Genomic DNA, 25,385 nt, shown 5'->3' with positions numbered 1-25,385 from the left:
AACTTCTTGTTCTGAAAATTTGACCTCCTTACAACTCAACTAATGTATCAAAATCTTCTACTCACCCCTTATTAAGAGCAAAACTCATTAACAATATTTGCATTTTTATACTGTAGATTCAGATCTACTGTTCTAAAAACTATTATCTTAAGAACATGTGAACTGAAGGAAATATTCATTTCTTGGGGGAATTTCATCACTATCAGTCTAAATGTCATGTCAGGAAACTGGTCATGTACTTGAAACTTCTGTATTAATGGCAAAACATTGAGATGTATACAATTTTTTAAGACATAGATAAAACTGTTAGCTTTCAATTTCCCAAAATAAAGGTGACAATTGAAAATTTACATAACAAAGTTGAAACACTTTTTAAGGATGTACTACATGCAATGTACTCAGATGAAATTAGACCATTTATTGTGATAAGAAAAAATATGAATACATATATTAGTTCAAATTCTGTAACTAAATAATGGGCATAAATTATACATACTCCAAATATTTACAGATATATTTGGAGGGAGGTTTTTAAAAGTAATCTAATTAATTTAGAATTAAACATTTTATAAAGTAGAAAGTCAGTTTAGGTTGGTATTTAATTAGATGGAGTGTGTTACACCTTACTTAACACTTTCAACTTTTTATTATTTAGCTTATATAACAAAACTCTTTTCAAATAAAAATTATTAAATTTTTTAAAAGTTTATATTTTCTGTGCATTTTAACAATAATTAATACAAGTAGGATCATACTTGAAAAAATTCAATATATTCAATATTGTTAAAATAAATTTCATTGTCTAGAGTCATTTAAAGTTCTAATTTTTGAAAGTCTTATGTCAATCAATTATTGAAGAAATAACTTTGGCTGTCTTTCTTTAAAAGTTTAATGATACATTTTAAGTAGTTAATTAGCATAAATGCTACTATGTAAATCCTAAATGTCCCATACTGAAAGCAAAATAATTCTTACATAATTTTTGTGCACTTTTCAATTCACAGCTACTTTATTTATGGACTTTAACTGGTGACAAAAAAAATGGCTCGAAAAAATATCAGCTCCAAAAACTGACAAATGTGCAGCAAAAGATTATGAAAACATGCAGTGGTTTCATTAAATTAACAACAATAAATAGAAAAATGTAACTAACGTATTACCAGTTTGTGCCATAAATTTAGCAGCATCAGCTTGTTCCTGAGGGACCCTTTTTTCATGAACAGATCGAGGTCGCTGACTTTTAATTGTATGATCTCCCATCATTCCAAATTCTAAAGACAGAATAAAGGTATATGAAAGCTTGTGTGTAGACATTTCTCACAAATTACATTACTGTCTCATGCAATATGTTCCTATACATACCTAGAAGATAATTATTAAATTCACAATTCTAAACTTGCTAGGCTAATCTGCTTGGAATATCTCTAAACTCAAGTCAGAAAACCTATAAACATGAACAAGATTTCAAAAAACAGTAATAGTCAATAAAATGACACAACAGATTTTAAGTGAACTTAACAGAGATACTGTACTCTTTTCTGATAAGGTTTTGAAGTAACACATAAGAAAAAAATACAACCACAGTGTTAACTGTTGTTTTTTTAGAGAGAGAATCCTGACTTAGTTGCATCTGCTTCTTTGCTAAACAACAATCACCCCCAGAAGTTTGTCAGCAGTTTTCTTGTTACTAGATTACTCAGTCCTGTAACTTATATTTTCTAAGGTAAACCCAGTCACTTAATAGACTACCTTTTTTTTTTTTTTCATCCAAAGATGAGGTTGCCCTTGGTGTTCTCAAAGGCTCATGGAATATAGTGGCATTGTTCATTCTCATTATTTCCTTCCCTGCCCCAATTAATTCCTCCCCCCTTTTCTAATCACATGTAAGAGAATATTTTCTCTTTTAAAAGTTATATTTATAAAATTTATTGTTTCTAGCCTTCTGTTATTTGATTATTTGATAGTAGAACTTTCAAGAAAGGCAGAAAAAAAATGTCTGGTACTAATTCGGGAACAAATGGAAGAAAGAAAAAAATTAGTTGAGTAAAAGAATACCTTCCATATAACATATTTTTAAAAATTCATATTCTTAGAATTCTGCAAGAGATCTGTGCTTATTGAACTGTGACTGAAAAGTGGTTTTACTAAAATCAGAGCCTAATATATGGAATAGTTGTTGGTTCTGTCTCATAGGAGTTTAGATATGGGAAGGGAATACTGAGGGGCAAGAAATTGTGCTGCTATCTTTTACATCAAGAAAACTACTAGGCCCTTAAGTCCAGGTCTCTTAAACATGACAAAGATGACTGGGTGAAGTGTGTTCCAGTGACACTGCAGATAGTGTAATTAAGCTGTGTATCTTGTAAGCACTAATTCTACCAATTCTTGTATGGAAGGAGAAAAGACTAGCACACATTTTCATCTGTCCTACCAAATCCTCACATAAAAATTAAACCATGACACCTGACTGATGTGTCAGAAATTTTTTACAGATAATCTACTCAAAAGAACATCCTCTGAGAAATCTGAGAAATCTAAATGTGTGTTTGTTTTTGTCAGGTGAGAAAATATCCAAGGCAGAAAATGTAAAAGAATAGCTTCTATGTAATATATTTTAAAAATTCATTTGCTTAGAATTCGGCAATATCCTACACTGTAGCTGATTCTGCTTATCAATAACAAAATGTCAGTGGGTTTGACCTTGTAAAATCCATCACTATTTTCCATTACCGCCAACATCCTTTCATTCCATTCAGTTATGTGTGCTGTATGTGGTGTCTAAACCATGTTTTGCCAGGCCATAAGAAGTATCTAATCACTCATTTAACAATTTTGAAAATGAACAATTTAGGAATTTTATATCTAGACTGACTATCCAATATTTTCAAATATTATATGCAATTAGAATGTTTCTGGATATGAAATAGCACCGGAATTTAGTAGTAATTTTTTATCAACAGTATGCTTCACCTTATTTCCTCTTGAATTTGTATTTTAAGTTGCGGGTATGTCTATTGTTTTCAGCATTTATGTCAGAGTACAGGTTTACATAAGTCATCTGGGGGCTCTGATGCTCACACTAAGGTAATTTTGGCACTGAGCAGGCAAAGAATGCTGAAAAGATTATTTCATGCCTACAAATTAATTATGTAGTAAATAACTGTATAACCTGTTCTGGTAGAAGGTAATTCTTCAACTCAGTGGCAGCATGATAATAGGCTGAAATCTCTCTTCTAAGGAAAATGGTTTATTTTTAATAGAGACTATGAACTTGAAATTTAGAAGGTCTGAGTATGTCCGTGGGTCTTGGTCTGTCACCCAGGCTGAAGTGCAGTGGTGCAATCATAGCTCACTGTAAACTTGAACGCCTGGGCTCAAGTGATCCTCTCCCTTGCCTCAGCCTCCCAAGTAGCTAAGACAACAAGCACCATCCACCATGCCTAGCTAATTTTAGTTTTTGTTGTTGTTGTTGGAGCAGGTCTCACTATCTTTCCCAGACTGATCTCAAACTCCTGGCCTCAAGGGATCCTCCCACCTCTGCTTCCCAAATTGTTGGGATTGCAGGTAGGAGCCACCATGGCCAGCCTTGGGATGATTTTAAAAGTGTCACATTCAATTTTTAACACTTTCTTAAGTTTAAAACAAGTTGAAGTGTTCATTTTTTTAAAGAATAGAACGAATTTAAGTAAATCATTTTATATTGTTAGTTGGAATGTGATTTACATCTCTTAAAATATGTGTAATGCAAATTAAATTTCAATATCCTAGAAATTAAATTTCAATATCCTACACCGTAGTTATTTCCACTTATCAATAATCAATGTTATATGAATACTAGTGCTGATAGTTTATCATGTCACAATATTTGCGATAAGAAATTCTTCAATAGTTTATGAACTTGATTACAAACTTATTACATAATCAGAAGTTTGAATTGGAATTGTTGATTATTGTTGTACAACAATATAATGTATCTGAAAAATTATTTTGAAAAAATAAGAATTAATATGAGGTCCTGATGTAACTAAATTCCTCATAAGAGAGAAGATATTAAAAATTCATTCTTTTTTTTCAGATGGGAAAACAACACTATGGTGGTATTTTTTTGAATATTCCACATCCATTGTTCTAGACTTAATTCAAATTTGTAATTGAAATATATAAACTATTACCTAACCAAGTGTGTTTCTTCTGCCAAAGTTTACGTCCCATGTTTCAAAATAAAAATCTTCTTTGTTTTAGAGTTGCTATTAACAGTAAGATTTAACAGATAATGTTATGGTTCTCTCCATACCTTGCAATGGGGTATTTTAAAAACATTTGTGCTGTCTTTCAAGATGGCATTATCTTCTTCACTTTTAATAAAAATTTAGGCCAATTGGATCATCCAAACTTAGGAAAAACCAATTATTTTTGCTATTATTTTATGTGGTGAATGTGGGTTGAGGTAAACTTTTAGCATAGTAGGCTTTCTGAATAATATAAATTCTTCATGGGTGGTTGATTCATATTCAAATGATTCTTAGTTGGCAAAGATAATATATTACATTAGTTACACGAGAAAAAGAACATAACCAAATAAAAAGATGATCTGCTTTGGTGAAAGCAATGGAAAGCAAGTTATGAAATCAAATGAAATAATGTATAGCATAACATTATGTATGTACACATGGTACATGGTTTATGAATATACAGGGTTATTTCCTATATCTTTATGTTGATGTTATCAATGAAGTGGTGGGTAAATAACTATGTTCATGTATAAAACCCAAATGATTAGAGATGACTGCCATGTTTAGGCACATTTTCTCAATCTTTCACTGTGCTTCTTGCTAAAAAGCAATAGGCTCTGGAAGTCAGATACAATCAAAGTTACATGAAAGAAAAATTTTAAAAATAATTTCCTTCAGTACAATTTTATGTCATTTCTTCCCCCATCCAGGAATATGTAAGTAGATCATTAAAAAACAAATAGACTTAAAATTTGACTTTTGATAGTCAATTATCAGTTATAAAGTTTTTGTCTGGAAATTAAAGGTCATAATAATGTGAAATCGAATTCATTAAAAAGTTAAAACACAAACACATATCCGTTTCTTATTTTACCATGTGTATTTTTAAACATACAGACAAGCACATCGATAGATGAGGAGATAAGAGTCATTACTGTAATCTATCTAGCAATGGAAATACTACTTCACATTGTTAGTTATCTTTTGTTTACGTGTCCACTGAAGTCATCCTCACCTAGGCCATTATTGCTTCTCAATAAACTTTTTGAGTTACGTCCTACTTACATTGTGTGGCCAAAGTGGACTACTTGTTGCTATGGGATTCGTAAAACCACTGCACCGTTTCTTACATTTTCCTAAACTTAAAACACCTGCTTTTCTAGTGATGCCTGCAAGTAAATCTCTCACCAAGCCTAATTCAAATGGCACCACCTCCATGAACTGTCTCCTCATTAACTAAACATAAACAACCTCTGCCTTCCTTAACTTCCATTTTTCTTGGCTTTGAATTAAAAATGGACTTTCATTATAATTATTAGATTGTCTTACTCTTCCTAGCAGATTAAAAACTTCTAAGGAAAAGGAAGTTTTACTTATGAATTTTAAAATCACCTCCTGCTTTGGACATAACTGAAGTTCAATATTTATTTATCAAACAAACAAATTTTGCATTAGGAATTGTTTCTCCAAAGTGCAAGTTTCTAGATGTCGAGAACCATTTCTTTAACTTGCTTAGTTCAATGGGGAGAAAAACAAAATTATCTGTGAAGTACTTGAAAATTAGTTATGTATGATTATGATGGTCAAAATTCCTGCTGTCAATAAGGTTATTATCCATAAATATTCAGGTTATTATTAAAATAATTGAAATACTGCTTCATTTGAAAATTAAGTGTCACTGTCCTGAAACAAAGCTTTATTTTTTAAATAAACATTTATTAATTAGTGTCTTAGGAACCAAAGTTATAAAGATGAATCAGAAATGGCTTCTGATATTCTAAAGCTCATAGTTCAAGGAAATCCATTATACATGGCCTGATCCTTTGAAATATATAAAACTATTATAATCAAAATATTATTGAGCTACATTTGAGACTCATTTTTTATATAAATTTCCTAAATACTGGAATGCCCTCAACTACAATGACTTGCTAATTTGTCTCCAAAGAGAAAATAAAAATAATCTTTTAATATGTCGCCAAAGAGAAATACAATTAAATCTTTCAAGCCATACAATCTTACATTAGAAGTGGTATCTCATTTATCACAACCTAACAAGAAAGAATATTAAAATATGATTTGCTGACAGGTGAAAGATTCCATCATCTGACTGGCTTAAGGTATGGTAGGCAAGTAAATTCTGTTGAGAAGCACCCATATATTTTCTGAAAAATGTTATTAGATTTAATGCCTTATAGGCTCATATTTAGGCAGGAATATAAATTATTAAATTTGGTCATTTAGAAACAGAAGTGGCACAGTGACTTTGCATGAAAATATTTCCTGCATACTGTAGTTGGGAGATATTTTGATAGTGAAGAGCAGCCCAGATTGTCAGGATTTTGGTATCTTTCTAATTTGTAAGAGTTTGCCTTGATTTTAATAGTGTTTAAAAATGTTATCAGATTTAAAAATTGTATTCTCTCATTTGATATTTTTTAGTACCTATATAGCCAAGTGTTCTGTGAAAAGATAGAGAGGATAGGAGAAAAGACTGGAGTTTATATAATCAAAAACATTTCTACAGTTAGCATGAACTGAATACAATTTTTAAACGGATATTTTACTACTGATTATAAATATACTAATTTCATTTCCCCATAGAACCATAAAAAACACAATAGATGAGGGAAGAAAACTTCTACAAAATTCAATAATGACAGTTATATAATAAATTAATAAATATTGGGATATATTTACATAAAATAAGATTAATCAATATTAAAAATAGTAGAAATCTGATAAATATATCATTAACATTTAAGAGATTAACTGATGCTCTTTCTTATTATTTCTTGGTTCCATTCCCAAAGCTAGATATGTGGCTACAGGGCCCAAAATGCTATTTCTTACAGTAACAAAATGAAACTTGCTTTCCGAAATACTTCGACAGAAATGATTTCGTTGGGTAGCTGGGCGTAACTCTGTTAAGCAAATGAGTAATTTTAGGGCACTTCTAAAAATGGATAAAACATGAAATAGTCAAAGGGCACACTGCTAATATGTTTATAGAAAAGTTAAAAATGTTCAAGAGTTTTCAATGTTGTTACATTATGTTACTTATAACATTTTGTAGAAGTGATTACCAAATATATTCGGTATATTTAGACAATAATGCTGTATTTATTTAACATTACTCCAAGTAAAAATGATGAAATAATTACATATAATAGATTTTCTTTTGGAACTCCTCAAACATTTGTTTGAAGATTATGTAATGAAATATTTTATGAGAATGTTTCCAGGAAATTCAGAGGATAAACCCTTAAATCATTATTTTTATATTTATTCTGTTTGCCATCCAGGAAATGTTAGTAAGCTGGACACACTCTTCCATGCAAGAATTCATCAATGTGTGTAATCAGGCAGGAATTATTTGTTATTTCTTATCCATTATGCAATTGAATGTTAATATCTCTTTCTGAGACAACTACTGAATTCTTATAAATCAGCAGTAATAGTTTGCTTAAAAATATGTTTTATTTGTTGGTGATGAGAAGCACATAAACGACAAATACAATTCTACTTTCAGTAGTACTAGCAGTTGGATATTTTTTGTTGTCGATTTGTTTCAGACCTTAATTTAGCACATTAGCATACCAGTGGCAAAATAAGATGATTTACTATAATTGTTAACACCTTTACAGCAGACTAAAACTCTTACAGCATACAATTGTAATAACCTTGTTGCTAATGTGTTTCTTGACAAGATCTTAGAAAGTCAGAAATATAAGAAAGTAAACTGAATTGTCCCTGGATGGTTATTTCTATATTTTCCAAACTAGAACATGGCTTGGTTGCTTTTCTGCCAAACTTTCTGACATGCACACTCTGTCTTCAGAGAAGATTTTAATAGGGGCTACCAAAAGGATGGACAATTCTCTTAAAAGTCCAGTATTGTACTTTTAAATTCACCAAAGCTCATTATCATTTATTATAACAGTGCAGTGTAGAATAATTTAACTTAAAGCAATATCACTGTATACATATTTACTGAAATAACTTAAAATATTCCATAAAATAATTTGTACATTATTTTATAGTACTACTATTGGTACATTATTAATATATTATTAGCACAAAATAAATGCTACCCTACAATTGAAGGTTAAAGATTTGATTAATGGTTGCTTGACCAAAAAAATATAAGTGGAGTATGAAATGTCTTCTTTTTTCATAAAACACTGGTATTTAGGTAATTCTGGTACATCTTTATTGTACTTGAATTACAATCAATTGAGTTGAAAGATCTCAAGGCTTACTTTTTGTACGTGGAGGTAAGGGAGAAGGGTTTCTTCTGTCTTTTACATATTTTTACTTTACCTATTATATTGATATAAAAATGCTTTATTAAAAGAGAATCTAGAAATACCAAAGTAGTTCTGGTCATGTTTTACCATTTATCTACCACTATATTTTAGTTTATTACAAAAAGTTTTAACTTAAAATAGTATCTTTTATACACATTTAATGAAAAGTATCAAACCTGACTTTCTTAATAAGAATGATTCTACTAAGACATGTATATAGCGTTTATAATTTCTAAAATAACTCTAATTCCATCTTAACTATTCCCTTAACCTTTTAGCTTATTTTTCAGAAATGAACTAAGATCATGGAAAATATTTTCAGTATTTTTCTACTACGTAAAAATTCCTTTAATCAATTAACTAATCTTTGAGCTTGTTTTCATCAGTCGTTATTATACTAAGGGACAAGTGGTATTCTATAGAGAGATCTACAAATAATTAGCATTTTCAAAGCTGTGCTTTACATACTAAAGATAGTTAAGACCATTTTAACTGGGATGAAGGTTAAGGCTCAACGTGGAGGGGTGGAAAAATAAATAAGCAATCAGGAGATGCAGCTCATACTTCAGGGCATCACGCCTTAAATTCCCTGCACCTGTTTCCTCCTCCTGCAAAAGGAGATACCGGGAACATGATCTCTAAGGTCTCCTTATACTCTAAAATTACATTTTTTTCTCAGATTGAAAGTTGATTCATGAACATATAGGCTATCTCCCAGCAGACCAAGAGTTGTAGAAGACCTGGTCAAGCTCGATGAACAGGTCTGTACACGAATGTGTGCACATGCACGAGTCTGAGTAACATAAGAGTTGTTTCGTTTCCTCAAGACATTTTCTCAAATCATTCAAGGTTGAAGTTATTTCGATCCACATCTAAGCATTAAATCAAGGTTTACCTTGCATGTGAAATCTCAGATTGCCTAATACTTATTTTAAAAAGTACATCTATGCTGTAGCTGGCATCCACATGAGACAGAAATTTTTTTATAAGGGGGAATTTTATCAAAGGCATTTGGGAATGAATACATTTCACTCATTCAACAAACATTAAATGAGCACCCATTACATTCCACACAGGATTCTCAGCACTGGAGATGTAGCTGTGAACATAGCAGACAAAAATCTTGTTTTTCATAGAAAAACATTATTGTTATCCCTAGTCTGATATAAAAGGCTTATGAAATATTGAATGAAAATTAAATTAACAAGCCAGTGCTTTAGGAAGGTTAGCAGTAGTTATATATACATTTCTCTTATAACTAACTTTTAATTTAGTTTTTCATTCATAGAGTACTTCATATAAAACCAAGTGCGTATCTCATCCATTTTATTATTCCACAAAATTTGTTTTAAAGCACCATTTAAATTAAAACTGTGGACACAAAAGCCACGTCACTACGACACAAACGATATTGCGGTCTTACTGGTCTTTGTATTATGCTTACAGTTTTCTCTCTTTTTAATTTTAATAGATTTTTTTTTGTTATGAACCAATCTAGTCTCTCTATACCTCAGAAGATAATATCTGTCCTTTATCAGTCTATCCTTCTATTCTTATATTATATATTTTATTATTTTTATTTTTTAAAACTGCCCAAGAAGATATAAATGTACTTGAACTACATCATTCCCTTATATTTCCCTATTGCTAGACATATATGTTGTCTTCAAAGATTTTTCTACTTGAAGAGGGTCTCCTAAAGTGGTTTTGCTGTGAGGAATCACAATTTAAATTTTGTTAGATATTGCCACATTCCACACCCCCCACCGAAGTGTTTAGTGTTTAATCCTGACATATTTCAGTACACGTAGTGTTGGCAGGGCAGACGTTAACTCTTCTTCATCTGAATCTATTTGATTTCTATCAACATACAACATCTCTCTTCATTCTGATTTGTGCTTTTCATGTTACTCCAATTTTGTCTGATATTATTATTCCTGCCTTGTTGATACACTTGTCTGCTACATCTTTTTCTGTATTTTATTTTCAGCCCCTTAGTGTCATTTTGCTTCAAGCATGTATCTTTTACATAACATATATAGTCGGATTTTAAAAATCCCATCTGACCCTCTTCCTTTTAATAGGGAATTAAACCCACTCACATTTATTATATTTATTACGATGTTGAACATTTCTCTTCTGTCTTATTTTAGAGTTTGTCTTTACCATGTTTTCTTGCTGTTTATTTTTTGCCTTTTCCTAATTTTTTTTGGATTGATAGGAATTGCCATTGCTACTTTTTTCTCGAGATATCCTAATTTAATTATTTAAAAGTGTTATACCCTAATTTTTTACATATACATAAAGCGTATTTTTAAAAATCTGTCAATCTCTTTAATTAATCAGCATCTATAGGCTTTTCCAACCAAGACAATAATTTGGGTCTGCTATCACTTCCCTTTCTTCCTTTACATCCATTTGTCATGTATTACCAAACCATTACATTTGTACATTGTGCTTTAATAATTTAGATTTAACTATTAGATTTTTTTTTAGTTTCTTCATTTGTCTTCTTTTTTGGATTCATTTATCATTTTGTTCAATATATTCTTTCACAGAGAATGGGCCAAAGTTGATTTACCTCACCCTGACACGCTTGAACGTTAGTCTGGCAAGCCTTAGAAATTTAGGGTTAAGTTTTTTTTCTCATTAAACTTTGAAGATACTTCTCTACTCACTCGTAGTATCCAGTGTTGCCCACGAGTCTTCTTATAAGAGAACGACTTCTATACCTGGAAGATTTTTAGGACTTTTTTTTTTTTTTTTTTTTTTTTTGATACAGAGTCTCTGTCGCCGAGGCTGGAGTGCAATGGCGGATCTCGGCTCACTGCAAGCTCCGCCTCCCGGGTTCACGTCATTCTCCTGCCTCAGCCTCCGGAGTAGCTGGGACCACAGAGCCCACCACCACGCCCGGCTAATTTTTTGTATTTTTAGTAGAAATGGGGTTTCACCATGTTAGCCAGGATGGTGTGGAACTCCTGACCTCAGGTGATCCACCTGCCTCGGCCTCCCAAAGTGATAGGATTACAGGCGTGAGCCACCGCACCTGGCCCCCGCTTTTTAGGACTTTTTATCTTTGGAGCTTTGAAATTTTATCAGTGTGTCTAGATATTCGTGTTTTTCATTTCGTTTACTTGGTACTCTGTGTTCCCCTTCAGTACAAGGACCAGCTATCTAGCAGAGCACATTGAATGTTTTCCTCCTTAGCTAACTTTCTAATTTATTTTCTTCCACGTTTGTTTTGGATGCTCTGAGTTACCGCCAGCTGTACTCTGCTTCCATCTCAACCCCCTCACATTCCAATAATTTTCTCTATGATAATTGAGCCCCTGATTCTTGATTAATAAAGGGTAACTGCAAAATATATAATTTCCCATTTCATTCTCTGAACAATACTTTCTTGTTACAGAAACCTCTCAAAAGAGTATCCTCTAATTCCTCTCTTCCCACTCACCCAATAATGTCAGATAATCTGACTTCAAACCTCCTGCCTTGAATGAAACTGCTCTCTTGAAAGTCAATTGCCTTTTAAGAACTGTCACGTTCATCATGATTCTTTCAGGATTTGACATTATCCCGCCCTCCCCATCCCACAACCGTTCTTGAAATGCTCACCTTCCTTGGCTTTCAAGGCTGACAGGATTTTAATTTTCTTCCTCCTTTTTTCTGCTTTTCTGTCTCTTTCATTGCCTTAGTGACTCTTCATCCTCTAAATGTGAGTTTTTCCCTTAGGTTCTGCCTCAACATTCTCTTCCCCAGAAATCTCACTCATTCCTACAGGATCAGGTATGGCTTTTAGGCAAATAACTGTCACCCTCTCACTCTCATCGGCCAATATACATTTTGCAGGCCACCTACACTAAGTGCCTCATAAATATTTTGCTAACAGCATTTATTAAAAGAAATAATCATTTCCCTTAGGAGACCCTACTCCTTGCTGTACATTTCGCATTTCTTTTTAACAAACACACAGTGCCCAAAATAAATATTTGATGAATAAATAAATATAAAATTAAAAATAATTTGAGCAGAAATACTGCAGAAAGCTGTTTTAGGCTTATCAAAATATTGTGCTGAACCCATTTGGTTATATAAAGATAGGACGCCGGCTTGAAAAGTTACTGGCTATAGAATAGACATATACTTTACATAATTGCAGAGTAATAATTAAAGTTTACTGAGGCTTCCAGAGAGAGAAGGTGAGGCTCACTGTGGACAATAGAGAAGGAGAGTGAGGCTAAGAAGTCTTGGGAGAGGAATAAAAAAAGACATGTCCAGAAAAATGGTGGGAAAATGAGACCAGAGGAAAAAAACTGAAAAATTCATTGTGGAAGGAATTGAAAAATAAATTATTAATAATAGTGATATTTAGATAGAAATAAATACTACGCTGCGGTAAAATATAATCCCTCTCTACTCCATCCAACTTTTATTAAATGCCTACTTAACCTGCATTAGAGATACTTAAAAGGAAGGGATTAAAGAAAAAAAAGCTTGGTTTCATGTTGAGGTTGAAAAGGGAGACAGAATAAAGAAAATAGCCCCAGAAGGAAAATGCAAAGCAGTTATTGATAATACGGATGAAATAAGTGGATGAGTGGACAGGCAGAAATGTATGCAACCCCTGCCTCAAAGAATCTTTAGAAATATTAAGAGGATGTTGAATTTCTAGCTCTAAATTATGTTAAAGGTAAGCCAAGTGTGTGTTTAAAAATTTATACTAAATTAAAGATAAGTTCTTGGAAGGCTAGAGAATTTGGGAGCACCTTGATGACAATGCTAGGGTTATAAATTCACATTCTTTTACTTGTATCTGGGTATTGCATATTAGTAATATCCATTAAACATGGTCCTTCCAGTGATTTTGTATTTTCAGAACAATATGAGAACACTAACATGATCTAGCAAGGAGTCCAGAATAGTTTGCTCATCATCATATGACTGTGCTTCTACAAGGCTGGTGACCAAGTGGCCAAGGATGGGCAAGGGGGTTAGGGACGGCATCTCTTACATGTCAAATTATTCCCTATTCCATCTTAACAGGTTTTTCTTCCCCCAACATCCCAACCTTTACAGGAGACATTAGCACTAATTATCCAATTATAATGAACTTTTTCATCAAGAAGTAAGTAGAAGTCATTACAATTTTGCTTCTCTGAAGGAAAAATGTTTTCCATTGTGTTTTAGTTTCTTAAAAAAATGTTTTACCTGACATTTTTCCAGTAATTAAAATCCCTCTATGAATCTGTATATTCTGTAGATTATTATTTCTTTGGCAGAAAATTGTATAAGAGTATATCCTCCTAGTGGGGATACAATTGACTTAAAATAAGTTATATTAAAATGATTGCATTGGTTATTTGATAACCAAAGTTTAATGAGTCAACATTGTAAGATAGCTATACCAAACCTAAATTTAATTTTTGATTGCATTTTTGAAGCATGGAATTCAGAACTTTTGAATTGCATATCAATTAGTAGTGGTCTTTATTTTTTAAGAGGCATATTGATAAAGTAAAATGTGTGCAAAGAAAGGTGCTCAGAACATTAAAAAGGTGAGAAGGAGAGTGAAGATTGTTTCAAAAAAAGAGATTAGTTTAATTTTTATTTTGGAAATAATTTTTGAGTGCCCAATGGATAAGGCACTTTAGAGAATAAAATCCAGTAAGAAAACTAGGACAAATCCAAACAATCAAACTTCAATATTGAGTTATTAGTACCCTAAGCTACATACACATAGATTCTAACAGAAATCAGGAACTGAGATTTTTTAACTTGAAACAAGAAAACTTCAGGAAAAAAAATAGTAATTATCTTCAAATATTTAGAAACTTATCATGTAGAAGAAAGATTACAAATAAATCAACTATATTGTTTAGGCAACTATATTGTTTATAAGGAAAAGTAGGTCAAATCCATAGGAAGAACTTTCTAATGATTTGGGATGCATGAAAAGGAATGAGTGGCCACACGAGGTACCTACCAAGCCTTTGATCACTGGAAGTGCTTAAATGGTGGCTGTGTGACTAATGAATATTGTAGACATAATTCTTACATGGATTTATCTATGATTCCTGGAATTGACTGTGATTCTTATCTTTCTCCCAACTCCATGTCCTGTCAATTTTAAATTCCCATCATATCCCTATCCAAAGCTTTTCCAAATCTGTAAAATCAGTGGTAGAGCTGATGCCTCTACCACTCCAGTCCAAATCCCAGTAGCCTCTATCACTTGGACCAATGTAATGGTCTCCTAACTGCTCACATCATACCACCGCCCAACCCCCAGCATTTCTGCTGCTGAGAATTCTCCACATAGCACAGGGACAGATCCTTTACAAGGTAAAACATATATAAAGTCCTTTTATGACTTCTCAGTATTTAGAATAGAATCCAAACTCTTTACCCTGTCTCGTATGAAAAAGCCCAGTAGAATCTGCCCCAGCCTACACCTTCAAGACCATCTTGCATCTTTCATACCATGCTCTAACCATACTGGCCTCCTTTTCGTTTCTGCAACATGCATAGCTCATTTCTCCTCTGCACGAATTGATTTTTTTCAACTGAAAAACTAATTGTGCTTGACAGATTGTCTTGTCATTCTTATCTAACCTAAAATTTCACCCCTTTCAAGAGACCCTTCCCGACTATCAAATACAAAGTACTTATACAGTGATTTCGTAAGACCAAATTTTAATTATTTGCAAAGAACTCATCAACCTGTGTTTTGTTTGGTTTTTGTTCATTTGTTTTAATAAATTGCTGTATCCACCAAACCACTGAACTGTGAGCTTCACAGGAGTAGGAATATTAACTGTCCATTACTGTATCTTTTGCCTGGTAAGCAACTGAAAAGTACTTTGGAAGGGTGAGAGAAAAGAAAGAGAGAGGAGAGAGAGGGGAAGGAGAAAGATTATTTTCATTGAACAATCTCATAATATTAACTTTACTCACTTTATTCTAGGTGATTTCCTCAGATATATCTTCCAATTCACAAACATTTCCTTTTACATTAGTGTTTATCCCATCTACAGAATTTTTAATTTTAGTAATTGTATGTTTAATTTTTAGTAGTCCTGTTTTTCTTAATCTGCTCATGTTTATTCTATTTTTACTTATTCATTCTTTCTTATTCATAGTTTTAAAATGATTTCAACTCCTTAGGAAAGTAACTTTAAACATATCTCCTTCACAGTTTATTTAAGGTGGTTTTTTCCTAGTTCTTGGTTTGCTCCTTGTGTTGCATCTGCTGCTTCTTCTGCATATTTTTCTGTTTCCTTCTTTAATTTATTTTTCTTTATATTTTTTATTTAATTTTATTTCTATTGAGTGTTCATTTTGCCCAGTACTTTTCCCCTGTGAAACTCATATAATGCCTGACTGTAAAAGTCCTTCCACAACTTCCATAGCAGTAAATTCTTTGGTTTTAGGTTACTGAATCATGACAGCATAAATTCACACCATACACCTGTGCGGTATGTGCCAGTGTTTGTTTTTTTTCTTGGGTAGTTTTTTTTTTCCCCTCCCACTCAAAGCTCCAGACAGAAGGCAAGCTTTCTTCTCACTGTTTCCCAGGCCACTGAGTAGTTTTACTAGATCTCTGCTGATAGATGGGGCAGCTTTCTGAAGCCTCAGACTTTCTATAGTTGGATTGCTTTTAGTTCTCCAAAACTACAAAGGCCGAGGACACTCTCCTGTCTACGCAACAACACTTAGATCCCAATTCTTAGCCATTTAGAGCATATAGCTGTCTAAAATAATTAAGATCATCCAGCGTACCCTTAATATTTTGTCTTTTATTGTTCCTGTTGTATTTTATGAACACCTATACATTTCCCTTTCTTTTGGGCTTGGCTCATTTTTTCTGTCATTACATTTTATCCAACATTTTAATGAATTTTTAACAGCTCTGGGTCTATTAATATCAGCCCATCCTGCCATGTGGCTGGAATTCTTTCCAATGAAATAGGCACTTTATTTAAGTGCCTAACTGGATGAGTTAGGTCCTATTATTATTCTCATTTTACTTATGAAGCTGATGAGGTTTCAAGAGGTTATGTTACTTGTCCATCATTACGTAGCTAATATGTGCTGGATCTGGGACTCAAAAAAAATTGCGTCAAATTGATGGCCAAGTCATGCTCTCAAGTATAAGGACATATAGTTAATAAGACCACTAAGATTTCTTTCAAATTATAACTAATTTTATGTCCTTTGTATCCTTTACTTTTCTAAATTTGCAGACATCTCTTCATGGTGTTAATTATGGTAGCAAGGCTCAAATATGATTAACAGAGAATCAGGCAAATATATGCTCTGGGTTTTTATAATCTTAGCTGTCAGTTCCTTTCAACTGTTTTGTAGATTTTATTTGATACTCTATGGGAAGCAAAATATGCTAGATTAAGTGCCTCACAATGTGAATTGATATTAAGATACATTTAAAAAGAATGTAATCCTATGGAGTCATTAACATGAGGTAGAATCACTTTAATGATGAGTAAGGTATCATACTGCTTCCTCTCTAACATTTTCACCCTTAACAACCACATACCTTTGAAATTTTGCCTCTACCAAAATTTCTTTTATGGAACATAAATAAGATGAATTTGATCCTGTCATTATGATGTTAGCTGGTTATTTTGCTTGTTAGTTCATGCAGTTTCTTCCTAGCCTCGATGGTCTTTACAATTTGGCATGATTTTGCAGTGGCTGGTACTGGTTGTTCCTTTCCATGTTTAGTGCTTCCTTCAGGAGCTCCTTTAGGGCAGGCCTGGTGGTGACAAAATCTCTCAGCATTTGCTTGTCTGTAAAGTATTTTATTTCTCCTTCACGTACGAAGCTTAGTTTGGCTGGATATGAAATTCTGGGTTGAAAATTCTTTTCTTTAAGAATGTTGAATATTGGCCTCCACACTCTTCTGGCTTGTAGAGTTTCTGCCGAGAGATCCGCTGTTAGTCTGATGGGCTTCCCTTTGTGGGTAACCCGACCTTTCTCTCTGGCTGCCCTTAACATTTTTTCCTTCATTTCAACTTTGGTGAATCTGACAATTATGTGTCTTGGAGTTGCTCTTCTCGAGGAGTATCTTTGTGGCATTCTCTGTATTTCCTGAATCTGAATGTTGGCCTGCCTTGCTAGATTGGGGAAGTTCTCCTGGATAATATCCTGCAGAGTGTTTTCCAACTTGGTTCCATTCTCCACATCACTTTCAGGTACACCAATCAGACGTAGATTTGGTCTTTTCACATAGTCCCATATTTCTTGGAGGCTTTGTTCGTTTCTTTTTATTCTTTTTTCTCTAAACTTCCCTTCTCGCTTCATTTCCTTCATTTCATCTTCCATCACTGATACCCTTTCTTCCAGTTGATCGCATCGGCTCCTGAGGCTTCTGCATTCTTCACGTAGTTCTTGAGCCTTGGCTTTCAGCTCCATCAGCTCCTTTAAGCACTTCTCTGTATTGGTTATTCTAGTTATACATTCACCTAATTTTTTTTCAAAGTTTTTAACTTCTTTGCCTTTGATTTGAATTTCCTCCTGTAGTTCGGAGTAGTTTGATCGTCTGAAGCCTTCTTCTCTCAACTCGTCAAAGTCATTTTCCGTCCAGCTTTGTTCCGTTGCTGGTGAGGAACTGTGTTCCTTTGGAGGAGGAGAGGCACTCTGATTTTTAGAGTTTCCAGGTTTTCTGCTCTGTTTTTTCCCCATCTTTGTGGTTTTATCTACTTTTGGTCTTTGATGATGGTGATGTACAGATGGGTTTTTGGTGTGGATGTCCTTTCTGTTTGTTAGTTTTCCTTCTAACAGACAGGACCCTCAGCTGCAGGTCTGTTGGAGTTTGCTAGAGGTCCACTCCAGACCCTGTCTGCCTGTATCAGCAGCGGTGGCTGCAGAACAGCGGATTTTCGTGAACCACGAATGTTGCTGTCTTATCGTTCCTCTGGAAGTTTTGTCTCAGAGGAGTACCCGGCCGTGTGAGGTGTCAGTCTGCCCTTACTGGGGGGTGCCTCCCAGTTAGGCTGCTCGGGGGTCAGGGGTCAGGGACCCACTTGAGGAGGCAGTCTGCCCATTCTCAGATATCCATCTGTGCTTGGAAAACCACTGCTCTCTTCAGAGCTGTCAGACAGGGACATTTAAGTCTGCTGAGGTTACTGCTGTCTTTTTGTTTGTCAGTGCCCTGCCCCCAGAGGTGGAGCCTACAGAGGCAGGCAGGCCTCCTTGAGCTGTTGGAGCTTCCTGGCTGCTTTATTTACCTAAGCAAGCCTGGGCAATGGCAGGTGCCCCTCCCCCAGCCTCGCTGCCGCCTTGCAGTTTGATCTTAGACTGCTGTGCTAGCAATCAGTGAGATTCCATGGGCGTAGGACCCTCCGAGCCAGGTGGAGGATATAATCTCCTGGTGCGCCGTTTTTTAAGCCCATCGGAAAAGCGCAGTATTAGGGTGGGAGTGACCTGATTTTCCAGGTGCCGTCTGTCACCCCTTTCTTTGACTAGGAAAGGGAACTCCCTGACCCCTTGTGTTTCCCGAGTGAGGCACTGGATTAAGCAAATGTGGCACATATACAACATGGAATACTATGCAGCCATAAAAAATGATGAGTTCATGTCCTTTGTAGGGACATGGATGAAATTGGAAATCATCATTCTCAGTAAACTATCGCAAGGACAAAACACCAAACACCACATGTTCTCACTCATAGGTGGGAATTGAACAATGGGAACACATGGACACAGGAAGGGGAGCATCACACTCTGGGGACTGTTGTGGGGTGGAGGGAGCGGGGAGGGATAGCATTAGGAGATATACCTAATGCTAAATGATGAGTTAATGAGTGCAGCACACCAGCATGGCACATGTATACATATGTAACTAACCTGCACATTGTGCACATGTACCCTAAAACTTAAAGTATAATAACAATAAAATAAAATAAAATAAAATAAAATAATAAAAAAAGAAGATGAATATACATTATTAATGAAGCATTAATAAGTGTTAATATTAGGCCACAGTAGATTCATTCTGGAAGAGGCACAGAAAAAAAAATCAGTAATTTATATATTCATTCCACAAATTACTGAGACTGAAAGGCATTAATTTTGGTGTCCTCTATAGACCCTAAAGGTTTTCTGAATCCAAGCTTAATAAAAGAATAAAATTCTCACAACAGTACTCAATTATTCTTAGTAAATGGCTGAGAAAGAACTGAACTCTTTTACCAGGCTTGCAATCTGTTAATCATTCAAAAAGGTCACAACTGAATCATACAAATACTTTATTTTTCTGTGTAACAGTGCTCTATGTTTTTCTCAAACCCAGTAGTTTCACAGATCAGAATTTTCCACTTCCCTTAAACACTAGATTGACCTCAAAAACAAGTCTCAAAAGATATCCTTCCAGACATTAAAAAAAAAAACAGAAACAACTACCAAATGATGTTTGACATTTAGGAATGACCTTTGTGTAGCAAAAAAAAAAAAAAAGTAATTTTCCAAAAAGCCAACTTTCAAACTTTCCCAGAAATGAATTTCCAAATGAAAAGACATCATGAGCTAAAAAAGTAATTGCCAGCCTTAAACTTATTTTTGCAAAGACCATGGAAAGTAGTAGAGTTAAATGCCCAAATTAAACATAAATGTTAAGTTTCACGTCCCTTTTGTAACACTGCTGAATCAGGTTTGATACCTTCTAAATGTGCACTTTCTTTTTAATTGTTAAACCTCTCTTTCTCACACACAGCCTCCTATATAGACAGAGGGCATAGCATGCTGGTATCCAGAGCATCACACTGAATTTAATGACTCAGGCATTTAAATTAGATTTGTGGTTTGCTGTCTTGACCTGTGGCTTTACCCTCAAAATTTCCTTTTTTTTTTAAATTATACTTTAAGCTTTAGGGTACATGTGCACAACGTGCAGGTTTGTTACATACGTATACATGTGCCATGTTGTTGTGCTGCACCCATTAACTCGTTATTTAACATTAGGTATATCTCCTAATGCTAGCCCTCCCCCCTCCCCCCACCCCACAACAGGCCCCGGTGTGTGATGTTCCCCTTCCTGTGTCCATGTTTTCCCATTGTTCAATTCCCACCTATGAATGAGAACATGCAGTGTTTGGTTTTTTGTCCTTGCTATAGTTTGCTGAGAATGATGGTTTCCAGCTTCATCCATGTCCCTACAAAGACATGAACTCATCATTTTTTATGGCTGCATAGTTCCATGGTGTATATGTGCCACATGAAGAACATTCCATGCTCATGGGTAGGAAGAATCAATATCATGAAAATGGCCATACTGCCCAAGGTAATTTATAGTTTCAATGCCATCCCCATCAAGCTATGAATGACTTTCTTAACAGAATTGGAAAAAACTACTTTAAAGTTCATATGGAACCAAAAAAGAGCCCACATTGCCAAGTCAATCCTAAGCCAAAAGAACAAAGCTGGAGGCATCACGCTACTTGACTTCAAACTATACTACAAGGCTACAGTAACCAAAACAGCATGGTACTGGTACCAAAACAGAGATATAGATCAATGGAACAGAACAGAGCCCTCAGAAATAATGCCACATATCTACAACTATCTGATCTTTGACAAACATGACAAAAACAAGAAATGGGCAAAGGATTCCCTATTTAATAAATGGTGCTGGGAAAACTGGATAGCCATATGTAGAAAGCTGAAACTGGATCCCTTCCTTACACCTTATACAAAAATTAATTCAAGATGGATTAAAGACTTAAATGTTAGACCTAAAACCATAAAAACCCTAGAAGAAAACCTAGGCAATACCATTCAGACATAGGCATGGGCAAGGACTTCATGTCTAAAACACCAAAAGCAATGGCAACAAAAGCCAAAATTGACAAATGGGATCTAATTAAACTAAAGAGCTTCTGCACAGCAAAAGAAACTACCATCAGAGTGAACAGGCAACCTACAGAATGGGAGAACATTTTTGCAATCTACTCAACTGACAAAGGGCTAACATCCAGAATCTACAATGAACTCAAACAAATTAACAAGAAAAAAACAAACAACCCCATCGACAAATGGGTGAAGGCTATGAACAGACACTTCTCAAAAGAAGATATTTATGCAGCCAAAAGACACATGAAAAAATGCTCATCATCACTGGCCATCAGAGAATTGCAAATCAAAACCACAATGAGATACCATCTCACACCAGTTAGAATGGCAATCATTAAAAAGTCAGGAAACAACAGGTGCTGGAGAGGATGTGGAGAAACAGGAACACTTTTACACTGTTGGTGGGACTGTAAACTACTTCAACCATGGTGGAAGACAGCGTGGCGATTCCTCAGGGATCTAGAACTAGAAATACCATTTGACCCAGCCATCCCATTACTGGGTATATACCCAAAGGATTATAAATCATGCTGCTATAAAGACATGCACACGTATGTTTATTGTGGCACTATTCACAATAGCAAAGACTTGGAACCAACCCAAATGTCCAACAATGATAGACTGGGTTACCCTTTAAATTTCATACTGCATCTACCTACAGAAGGATATTTTTAGGCTTCAAGCAGTAGATTGTTTGGAAAAGAGTGATAGGAACCATTTAAGTCCCACTCTGAGACCGACAAAGAAGCGATATCTAAAAATGCATGACAAAGTTACTATCAAATGATCATATAAAATTAAACTCAGAAGTCACAGAGAGGTCTGTCAACATTTTCTTCCTTTTGTTCTGAAGTGACAACAACATTTCATGAGCTCTGACTATGCCACTATGCCTTAGTAGAAGGATAAAATTTGTTGCCTTATTTACATTTCTGTGGAATAAACCTTTTTATTTCTTCACCAATGTAGAGATGAGGAAGTAGAAGATAAAGTAATAGTGTCTAGTTACACTGTATATTAGAGAGCTCAGATTGAAAATTAAGTATGTTTGTGTTAAAAGCAATGTTGTTTGTCCTACGATACTAAAAGTAAATACACACAGGCAGGGTGTTGTTTTCTCATATAAAAGTAATTCAAGTTCATAATAGAAAATATAAAATGCTAGAAAAAATATATTATGTGTCCACCAACTCCACTACCAAAAAAATTATTAGTAACATTATCTTCCAAGTTTTGGACTGTGTTTTGTGAGGAAGCACATATAACAAGATGTTATTTGGTTTTCTTGAGAACCTGTTAACACACATTACCTAATAGTGCAAAGATTTCATCATTCAAGAAATTTTACTTAATTAAAATCTCCAATGTCTTCCAAGGAAAAAAGGGCACCATTTATTGGTCATCCCAAATAGGATATTGACAGGATTTCATCCAAAAGAAGAAAAAGAGGGGGTCTCAGGAGAATCACTTATATATTTAAGGGAGACTGAAACTTTTCTGATTGGATGTCCATTTAACCACAAGGCTTGCTTGTCAGCTCGGCTGATGTCAGATACGGAAGAGAGGAGATGCTTAGGTGAGACCATGTGAACTACAAATACAGAAGTGGATTAGTTTCTGAAGCTCAGGGAAGTGAATGAGGATTTTTATAACTTCAAGATAAAAATATATAGAAATAATAGAAATTATATAGCAATACGGAAGTCACAACAAGGGCTTTGTTTTGAAAGCTTGTGACTTCACTTTGAGTTCAAATTCACTTTGAGAGTTTAACTTCTTAATGGAAATATTCAGCCTATAGTTAGAAATACAGACTAAGACTGTCAATATGATGATATAGGCTTACTGACTTTTGACTGTGATTGGGTGAGGTTGGATAGGGTCTACAAAGCAAATAAGACCTACAGGCTGCTTTTGGAGAAAGCCCACTTTTGAGATTAGGAGAGAAAACAAGAAGTTTGAAATCAGGTGAAGAGGAATAGTGAAAGTAGACAGAAAAACTAGGAGAGTGTTTCACCAGAGAGGTCTAGCTGAGACATATTCAAGGAATAAGAGAAATGCTCTTAGGCGTTCAGAAGGTTACTAGATTTGGAGACAAGGTAGTCATTGTGGACCCTTAAATATCAAACCATTTCCAAAAAGATAAAAGAAGAAATAAGTTAATTAGAAAAAAAGAAACCTTAGAATTGGTCATCGATCAATAATGCCAATAGATGTTTCTTTTTGAGAGTAGCAGAAAAACTGTAGCAAATTCAATGAAGAGATAAAAATCCATGTAGAAATTAAGACAGCAATAGTTAATTAAATAATTTATTGTCTTTAATATTAAAGTTGATATTATTGTAAACATTAATATTAAGATCTCATCGAACTTTATGTAACATAAAAGATAAGGTAATGCAAGAAACAGGAGAAATATTTCATTGTTCAATAAAGAAGAAATAGAAAATATTAAAGAACTATATACAAATGAGGACAAAACTCATAGACATTGAAGGGTTTGTTTTTAAATTTTTTATATTAAAGTTCTTTCTTGATACATATAAAATGTTACAGAAATGGAAAGGATGAAAAGCTACCTAGTGTGTTTTAGAAAATTAAGACAACACAGAGAGCAACATCTGGCAAACATGGTTAAAAATAACCATAAGGCAAAATAACTTATCTGAAAATACTAAGTAAAATACTAGGATAAAATTACTAGTGCATGAAAGATAAATTGCTTACAACTAAAAACAGGGTCCATTCAAGGAATTAAGATAGGTATTAACATTGGGAAATCATTGAGAGAAATATAATTTCTATAAACCTGGTAAAGTCTGAAATGTATCAACTCTACTTAATTAAAATTATTTTACAATAGGAATCCCTAAAAAAATTAGAAAAAATAACAAATGTCTCGAACTCATAGTTCTATCAAATTTAGTGATGAAACTCTAAAGGCATTCTCAGAAGTAAAAAGTACAAATCAAGGATGCTCATTATAACAATAATTCTTTCACACTGGTTTGGAAGTAGATCCAACAGAATAAGAATCAAAGAATTTATACAACAAACAATGAAAAAAGAAACAAATCATTTAAATGTGTAGACAATAAAGTTATAAAAGCTCAATTTTAAAACCAGTAGAATTAATAATTTCATTGTGTCTGAATATGTGCTAAAATACTCAAATTAACAGCTTTGCTATATCAATAATAAATTATAAACAATAATTTCTAAAAATTTAGTAAAAACAAAGTATAAGACCAGCAGTGAATTTAAAAATAAATATGCTAAAGCTATTGGGAGCATAACTATAAATTTGAATCCGAATTACTGAGTGAGTCAGATGCTGCTGAGTGCTTCAGAATATTATTTACTCCTTACTGTTATCCTTTTGTATATATATTATTTTCATTTGAGGTTTAGAAAGATGAATAAACTTGCCTAATGTCTCACAGTTAAGTGGCAGGATAAAAAGGAAAATAGTGAAGGCAAAAAATGTGAAGAGACAGTACAGAAGCAAATATTAATAGATGTGATAGATTTTACTGTCGAAAGCTTCTAGTACATTATAAAAAGATTTTGCTCATCAGAAACATTATGAATAAAATTTAAAGTTTAACAACAAACCAGGAAAAATATTTGCAGCAAAGTTGCATGAATACAAAATTAACAGACAAACCTATAACAATAACTAATAAACATGCTCATTCCATTAACCATTCAAATAACATAAACTGCAATAGCAATAATTATTTTTATCTATCAGATTAGCAAAAGTCTAAAACATAAACAATACTTTTAAGAGAGTCATAAAATGAGCACTCAGAATGCAATTGGATTCTAAATTATGTAAAATGTGTCTTTTAACAATTTGACCATTTTTATTAGCAACTTTAAAATTTCCAACATTCTTTGACCCAGTAAGTCTACTTTTTGGAATCTATCTGATTAAAAACACTATGGCACATGGTCAATGATGTATGATTAA

General features: G+C 33.8%; 1 protein-coding gene across 1 annotated transcript in view; it reads right to left on the bottom strand.

The window, feature by feature from the left end:
* The window catches only part of ADGRB3 (adhesion G protein-coupled receptor B3), a 754,225-nt gene that overhangs the window by 457,677 nt on the left and 271,163 nt on the right, over positions 1 to 25,385 (bottom strand). Inside the window, exon 4 of the mRNA NM_001704.3 lies at positions 1,161 to 1,271. Coding sequence (NP_001695.2) covers positions 1,161 to 1,271 — 111 coding nt within the window. The remainder of the gene's footprint in view (positions 1 to 1,160; positions 1,272 to 25,385) is intronic.

Source organism: Homo sapiens, chromosome 6, assembly GCF_000001405.40.
Source record: "Homo sapiens chromosome 6, GRCh38.p14 Primary Assembly".
NCBI lineage: Eukaryota > Metazoa > Chordata > Mammalia > Primates > Hominidae > Homo > Homo sapiens.
Note: the sequence above shows the minus strand (reverse complement) of the source record. Positions and strands in the feature narration are given on the sequence as shown.